Here is a 9233-nt window from a genome sequence, read left to right as displayed (position 1 = left end):
AGTCAGAAAACAAAAATACCTCTTAGTCTGGGTAGACACTTTCACTGGATAGGTAGAGGCCTTTCCCACAGGGTCTGAGAAGGCCACCGCGGTCATTTCTTCCCTTCTGTCAGACATAATTCCTTGGTTTAGCCTTCTCACCTCTATACAGTCTGATAACAAACCAGCCTTTACTAGTCAAATCACCCAAGCAGTTTATCAGGCTCTTAGTATTCAGTAGAACCTTCATATCCCTTACCGTCCTCAATCTTCAGGAAAGGTAGAACGGACTAATGGTCTTTTAAAGACATACCTCACCAAGTTCAGCCTCCAACTTAAAAAGGACTGGACAATACTTTTACCTCTTGCCATTCTCAGAATTCAGGCCTGTCCTTGGAATGCTACAAGGTACAGCCCATTTAAGCTCCTGTATAGATGCTCCTTTTTATTAGGCCCCAGTCTCGTCCCAGACACTAGACCAACCTAGACTGTGCCCCAAAAAACTTGTCATCCCTACTATTTTCTGTCTAGTCATACTCTTATTCACCGTTCTCAACTACTCATAAATGCCCTGCTCTTGTTTACACTACCAGTTTACACTGTTTCTCCAAGCCATCACAGCTGATATCTCCTGGTGCTATCCCCAAACTGCCACTCTTAACTCTCAAAGTAAATAAATAATCTTTGCTGGCAAGGCTATGCTGAACCTCCTTAGGCACTCTCTAATTAGATGTCCTAGGTCCTCCCAATTCCTAGTCCTTTAATACCTGTTTTTCTCCTTCTTTTATTCCGTTTAGTTTTTCAATTCATACAAAACCGTATCCAGGCCATCACCAATAATTCTACATGACAAATGTTTCTTCTAACAACCCCACAATATCACCCCTTACCACAGAATCTTCCTTCAGCTTAATCTCTCCCACTCTAGGTTCCCATGCCACCCCTAATCCTGCTCGAAGCAGCCCTGAGAAACATCGCCCATTCTCTCCATACCACCCCCAAAAATTTTTGCTGTCCCAACACTTTACCACTATTTTGTTTTATTTTTCTTATTAATATATGAAGACAGGAATGTCATGCCTCTGAGCCCAAGCTAAGCCATCATATCCCCTGTGACCTGCACGTATATGCCCAGATGGCCGGTTCCTGCCTTAACTGATGACATTCCACCACAAAAGAAGTGAAAATGGCCTGTTTCTGCCTTAACTGATGACATTATCTTGTGAAATTCCTTCTCCTGGCTCATCCTGGCTCAAAAGCTCCCCTACTGAGCACCTTGTGACCCCCATTCCTGTCCGCCAGAGAACAATCCCCCTTTGACTGTAATTTTCCTTTACCTACCCAAAAAACGGTCCCACTCCTATCTCCCTGCGCTGACTCTCTTTTCGGACTCAGCCTGCCTACACCCAGGTGAAATAAACAGCCTTGTTGCTCACCAAAAAAAAAAAAAAAAAAAAAAAAAAAAAAAAAAAAATCCTATGAGGAGCTTCAAATACGAATTCCAGAAGTTTAGCATGCCCTTTAGAAAGTAGAGTGTGGCGAAAAAAATAAACTGCAAACAGTGATGGATAAGTTAAATGGCTAGCGTGTAGTAATTATTTCACTATAGATATCTATATCAAAACATGTTGTACATCTTGAATTGATACAACAGAAAATAAAATACTCAAAAAAAAAAAAAAAAAAAAGAAAGTAGTTGTGGAGTCCTAACAAATTCAAACTCTAAATCAGGCCTGCTTCTGAGAAGGCAAGGACAAATAACGTCAGCATTAGCTGGACAATCCTCAAGTTATTACAGGAGAGAATCTGAATACAGGAGTTTGGGGAGGTATCGAAGCTCTGAATTAGGCTAGCAGAGCTCTAAGGCGGTTTAGAAAGGTCTTGTAGGCTTGTGTACAGGTTTCAGCTTCCATGGGATTCCAAAGCACTTTGAGCCATTAGCCTCCTATTTATGAAGGTGATTGATTGATTGAATGATTGAATGATGTGTTGATTAACGTGTTCTGCTTTTTTAAAAAGGAAGCTAGCAATAACATATTATGGAGTCTATATGCTTGTTAGAGATGGGCCGTAAATTTGGCTCCAAGATTTCTGGCAGCCAACTGAAAAAAAAGTTAAGCCACCTTACAATTTTCAGAATACATGATAGAATGAGCCAATTTTCATGAATAGGTCCAACTAGTTTGTATGCAACCAACTAGAAATTGTAAATGTTTACACAAATAAGGTGCTGGGTTATATAATGAACAATATCCTTATCATAAACATAATAATGTGTTTAATAGACTAATTCTATGAAGCCAAAACTTAAGTCAGTCACACGCACGCACTCATACACACAAACACACACACACGGTTAGGAATGACAGGCAATATGACTCTGTCCATTCGGTGCTCAGCAAGCTCCTTGTAGCTCTAGTTCAGTCTCCCAGAATGTTTAACAATATTTCTGGTTCTTTATCCTGACTCTCTGGATTCTTAATTTGCACAATGAGTTGTCTCCCAGGAGCAAACAAGAATAGTACCCTTTACACATTTGTTGCTGTGGGTTTTCAATATTTATTGACTGTGATGGGGTGGAAATTATTCAGTTGTTAGGTCACTAGACTGTAAACTTCTTCAAGTTGGGCTCATATCTCTTACCAACTTTTATTGGTCTATATCTTGATGCCTAGTACAAAGCTATGAACCAGGTGGTCATTTTGTTGTTAAAACTGAATTGATTTGTGGTTTATCATTTATTTTTCCAGGGTGGCTGAACTTAAGAAGTAAGTGAGAAAAAAGAAATAACCTAGTGAGCTCAAAAAATAGGGTCTCAGGGAAGAAACACTCTATTATATACCTCTGGTCAATAATTTTAAACATGTGCCTTTTCCATCTGCATATTTAGGGTTCACTTTCTAATTTTACCTTTGCTTTTGTCTGGAATCCCTTGGATCCAAGAGACTTTCTGTGCTGCCAGCTGAGATCGTACTGTTAACAGCTGAAACTGAAGTTTCAGAGATCTTCAGCATGACCTACTCCAAAACTCTGTGTGAAAGTCCCCAGGGTATTTACAGTCAACAACCATGTAGGAATGGAGGAAATGAATAAACAGAGCCTTCCTAGCAACCTCAACAGTCATCTGTTAGCAAAAGGGTCCTCCAGGTATAAAACTGAGGTCTACAGGGGCCTATGAGTTGAGGGATGTATTAAGCCGTTCTTGCATTGCTATAAAGAAATACTGGAGACTGGGTAATTTATAAAGAAAATATGTTTAATTGGCTCATGGTTCTGCAGGCTGTACAGGAAGCATAGCTCTGGCATCAGCTTCTGGGGAGGCCTCAGGAAGCTTACAAGCATGACGGAAGGCAAAGTGAGAGCAGGCACATCATATGGGGAAAGCAGGAACAAGAGAGAGGAGGTGGGGAGCTGCCACACACTTAAAAACAACCAGATCTCATGTGGACTAAGACCAAGAACTCACTTAGCACCAAGGAGATGGCCCAAGTCATTCATGAGGGATCTGCCTCCGTGATCCAAACGCCTCTCACCAGGCCCCACCTCCAACACTGGGGATTATATCTCGTGAGATTTGGAAGGGACCTCCACACTATCTCAAGGGACATGCTTCAGATAAGCTGCTTATATTGACACCTCTTCTCCCTGATATATCCTACCTGCATATATTTCACTATTTGTGAAAATCAATAGGTTTAAGCACATTATATATCCATAGGACAGAAGGCCCTAATACTTTTTAGTTCCTTTCTATGTTCCAGAAGAAAAAAAATTCTGGAAATCATCTTCTATCATTATATATCCTTTCAGTTCACTTATGCTAATACTGTCATAATTTTATGACTTTAGTGAGAGTGGTTCCCACCACTTATTTCACTCTCCAGCTTGCCACTGACTTTCTCAATTTCCTCCTAATCCAGCCTAGATTGCACGGTCACTATACTCACACCCTTGTGAACATCCTTAACTTGCCCCATTTGCCCCATTTGCCCTCCTTGTACTAAGCTGGCAATGCATCAACACTGATTAACTTATTTAATCAATGTCTGCAAACAAATCATTGAGCATTGCTGGAGAAAATCACGTATCCACACTTAATGACTCCCTTTATTTATGATTACAAATCTTAATAAATGATTACAAAGTTAATACATGATGATGATAATTTGTGTGCCTATTAAATTAAATTTTTCTCTCCTCAAAGCTGTCTGTTTAATGCCTTCTGTGATGGCTTTTTGTGTCAACTTGACTGGGCCACTGGATGCCCAGATATTTGGTTAAACACTATTCTGGCTATGTCCATGAGGATGTTTCTGGAAGAGATTAACATTTGAATTGGTAGAGTGAGTAAAGCAGATTGCCCTCTGCAGTGTAAGTGAGCCACAGCCAATCTATTGAAGGCCTAAATAGAACAAAAGATTCAGTAAGGGAGAATTTGCTCTCCCTGCCTCACTGTCTTTGACCTGGGATGTTGGTCTTCTCCTGCCTTCAGACTCTGAATGGTGCTTACCCTATCCATTCTCCTGTGTCTCCAGCTTGCCAAATGGTTCTGAAACCTTCAGACTCCATAACCATGTGAGCCAATTCTTTACATATTTCCTATATAGAGAAAATCTAGAGAGAAATATAGAGAAAATATAGAGAGAAATGTATTTCTTATATGTAGAAAATATAGAGAGAGAAAATATATGTTTAAGAATATCTAGAGAGAGAAGAAAAAAAAGGAATATCTTTCTTGAACCCATTTATCTCTCTAGCCCCTGCTCCATTTCTCTGCTCCCATTCCACCAAATTTTTTTTTTTTTGAGACGGAGTTTCACTGTGTCACCTAGGCTGGAGTGCAGTGGCGTGATCTTGGCTCACTGCAACCTCCACCCCATGGGTTCAAGCGATTCTCCTGCCTTAGCCTCCCAAGTAGCTAGGATTACAGGTGCCGCCACCACACCTGGCTAATTTTTGTGTTTTTAGTGGAGACGAGGTTTCACCATGTTGGCCAGTCTGATCTTGAACTCCTGACTCCGCCTCAGCCTCCCAAAGTGCTGGGATTAAAGGTGTGAGCCACCACACCTATATTCACTGTCTCCAATTTCTATCTCCCCAATCTCTTCTCAATGCACCAAATCCTTTCTATCACTCCACTGAAGGAATCAGGTCTTCAGTGATCTACAGTGACCTACTTTAAACACCATCTTCTTATCCTCATAGCTTATCTCCCACTTATAAGTAAGAACATATGATATTGGTTTTCCATTTCTGAGTTACCTTACTTAGAATAATGGCCTCTATCTCCATCTATGTCACTGCAAAGGCCATTATTTTGTTCCATTTTATGGCTTAGCAGTATTACATGGTGTACATATGCCACATTTTCTTTATCTCACATTCAATAATACCACACTTTCCTAATTTTCTTTCACTGTCACTGGTCACACCTTCTCAATCTTTTTTCTTGGCTTCCCCTGTTCTGTCAGATCTAAATCTAGATCTCTAGTGATCACCAAGGCCCTCTCCTTGATTCTCTCTTCTCTACCTATAATCTCTCAAATAATCCCATCTATTTTCCAGTATCATCTATATGTTAATAAAACTGAATTTATATTCCAAGTTAAGACCTCTCTTTGAGCTCTAACCTCCTAGATCCAACTACCTCCTTGATATATCACTTGATATATCCAAATGCCTCCTTGATATATCACAATTGGCATCTGTAACTTAACAGGGACCAAGCAAACCTATTGGTTTTCCCAATAGGCACACATATACACATTCCATTACTACCTGCCTGCCTCTGCTTAAGTCCTTCCCATGGCTTCTCATTGTACTTAAATAAAGTCAAAACTTCTCACTATGGCCTACAAAACCCTACATGATCTCATCCCTGCCTCCCTTTTGATGTCATTTCTTCCCAGTATTCACCTTGGTTACTGCATAAGTGCCTCACTAATATTCTGCATGTACCCTAAAATCAGGCTCATGCCTGTCTTAGTATTCTTACATTTGTTATTTCATCTGCCTGGAATGCCTTCTCCAAAATCCTTACAAGGCTGCCTCCTGTTGTCATTAAATGCTACCTCCTCAGAAAAGGAGCCAAAGCTGCTAGTATACAAACACACACACACATAAACACACATAAACACACACACACACACACACACACCAGTCACCCACTCCCAATTAAACTATTTTATCTCCTTCATAGTGCTGTATTTGTCATGAATTTAATTTGCCTTCTTTATGTATGTATGTTTATTGTCTCTCAGCAACTAGAAACTAGGTTCCTTGGAGCTAGGAATGTTTTTCTTAGACATTGTTGTATTCCCAGGGTCCATAATCTAAATGTCCTTTACATGTCCAGCATCTAAATATCACAAAAATACAATTTTTTTGACTGGTCACAGGAAAAAAATGTGTCTACTTCAAAATAAAATGATCTATTGCAATAAGGTAGTAAGATTAAAAACTATAGTGATTTCAGGCAATTAAGAGAAATCTGGGACAGAGGTGGATAGAGAAGAAAAGAGTGATTAGGTCATTACAGATAACTAGTCTTGTTATGCAGTTAACTAGATATGGTTGTAAACAAAAAACATATTTATACTTCAGAGATATAATGAACCAAATAAAACAACATACCATGTTATTGAACTTAGAATCTCATAGGAGAGTGGTGAGTAAAGAAATATATGTTCCCAAACATGAAGCTATTGAAAAGTTCTACAGGAAATAAGGGATCATTAGAAAAAGAATTATGCCAAAGGTCATTTGGAAAGCATTATAGCCACAGGAATATCAAAGTCATCTTTGGAACATAGTGATCTAAAAGAAATCATAATTTTAAGACATATTAGTAAAGACATAACTTAGCTTAAAGTTACTCTTCAGTTTACTATTCACCTATCTTAAGAAATCTTCAACTTTCTTCCTTCCTAAAATATAAGTAATATGGAAATCCCATGGGAATCTCTGAAAAGAAGAAAGTTGACTTTAGCATTTGAACTGCAAAGTAGTGATCAATTAATTTATTAATAATCAGATAATTGAGCAGGGGGTTCCTGAATAAAATGAAAAGTAGAAATAACCAGAAGGACAATTTTAAGAACCACCTCTCAGCTTTATAAACTAATCCTCCTCTAATGGCCCTTTTTAATGTAATTTATAGTTTCATCATTACCCTTTTTGTATTAGTAATTATTTCTAAAACACCAAAGAACCATCTTTTTTTCAAGGTCTTTCCCTCAGTCTGATTTACAACCCAGCTCAAGTTGGACTCTGTCTTTCTGAGGTTTGACATTTCAAAATATTTATTGCTCTTTTACATTAATGCCTTTCTCATGAATCTGAAGGTGACCGTTATTTCTTTCATCGTGTTGTAATTAAATGGATCAACTATTGCTTTATTATTTCCACTATTTGTCTGCACAGCACATTAAAACTTTCAGATTAGAAAGTGATATTGAGCACTGTGTGAACTACAACAAACAAATATTTCCGAAAATATAGGGTCCTCTTGATGCATCACTAAAGGAGCTGTTCCAAGCGAAAGCACAAAATCTTTAATATTTTATTGATCAGATCTAAACCTTCTGCCCAAAGTGGCAATTACATTTCAATTAAACTGACTGAAAGCATCATATTAAATTTCAGCACTTTACGAGCTATCAGATAATGCTGCAGGACAAATCTTTAGTATGATCACACTCTTTTCAAATTATATTATCCTGTTCATTCACAATAAAAGTGACAGTTTTAGGTATACTTTCAATATTTCTTGAATATAAACCCTCTAATGAACACATTTTATTGCCTTTAAATCAATTATTATTGGATATTTTAATAAAGTGAATTGAGCACTTTGTTTTACACACTGCTTAGAAGTTATTATATTTTGCAGTCTGCACAGCAAAGAACGGAATCAGAGAGAAGACAGAGAGAGAAATGGCCAAATATCTGACAGTGTAGAAGAAATGGAATGAGCCATTTATAAGGAGGAAGGCTTCCTGTCTCACTCTATAACATTTAATGATACATGCTAATTAGCATATGATTAATGTTTTTTCTCTTTTTGAAATTTCGGTCCAAGTTGTAGAAGTACCTTCTACCACAATAAGAAAAATGTTAGAAATCACAAAATTATAGCACAAATATAGTCTTATGTATACTTTATTATGGAAATTGGGACCCTTAAGTTTTTATTTGTTTCTCTCCCTTGCCCATTGAATTTATGAGTTATAATATTATAGCTCAGATTTTCAGAGCACAGTCCATGTTAAATGTTGACCAAGACATTGTGCCCATCTGAAAAATATAAATAGAATCCTGATACAGTTGATTCTTCACTGTGGTCACCCTTGTAATTAATGCAGACTCCAGACTGAAGCATACAGTCGAGGTGGTCAGTATTGATTGCCAAGATGGCCAAATGAATGCTTTAGCTCCGCACAGTCCAGATCACTCAGCACGTATGCAACATACCACTTCATAAAAAGCTCAGTGTACTGGTCCTGTTTCATGCACATATGTACATGAACTGGGCAAACATGGCATAGAAGCACACTCAGAAAGAGACTAGGTAAAAGAGTGCCCTCCACTTTGAAAGAACTTAGCTACATATGAGGATTTGGCCCTGCTTTGTGACTATAGAGATGTCTTTATTGCAAAAGTTGAAAGCATGCTGGAATAACCTCAGTGTAATCCACTGGAGTGCATTACATTAAAACTTAGATGAAAATCATAATTTCTTATTGAAATGATTCAATTAGATTACAGTCCCTGAGTTTGAATAATTGGGTCTCAAGGCGACAAGGGACTTTAACAACTCATTAAAACTATCCCTGTGTAGCTGGATTACAGGACCAACAGCAAGGCTGTTCGTGGAGGTGGTATCAATCTGTAAGAGATGTTAGAAGACCATTTCAATAAATGTGGGACCAGTTAACTCAGGCTTTTGTACAAAATCTATGCGGTGGGTAAACTACAAATGGCCCACCTCCTTCAGAAGTAGATAGTGCTGCCAAGTCACAAGTTTAAAACTACTTATTTCTAGCACCATTCTTTCTGTTGAGCATGGTCTTCATCAGCTGGAATTAGGCAGATACAATCAACTATTCACCGTTTACCTGGAATGAGTGGCAAAGTATCTGCTTCCCAACAAAAATATGTGTTTTAAAAATAAAAAGGAAGATAATACAAGCAATTTTAAAATAGGAAATGCTTTACCTGCCTATTTCAGAATATCGATTGTACTTCCAGCAGTT

At 38.2% G+C, this 9233-nt stretch overlaps 1 annotated feature.

Moving 5' to 3' along the window:
- Positions 902 to 1430: an enhancer, noted in NCBI's record as "NANOG hESC enhancer chr15:37528451-37528979 (GRCh37/hg19 assembly coordinates)". NCBI's record gives its function as "activates a minimal SCP1, AML or CMV promoter by ChIP-STARR-seq in naive H9 embryonic stem cells {active_cell/tissue: H9 hESC(naive)}" and the evidence as "EXISTENCE:reporter gene assay evidence [ECO:0000049][PMID:30033119]".

Source organism: Homo sapiens, chromosome 15 (genome assembly GCF_000001405.40).
Source record: "Homo sapiens chromosome 15, GRCh38.p14 Primary Assembly".
NCBI lineage: Eukaryota > Metazoa > Chordata > Mammalia > Primates > Hominidae > Homo > Homo sapiens.
The sequence above is the reverse complement of the archived record's forward strand: the minus strand, read 5'-3'. Positions and strand labels throughout refer to the sequence as shown.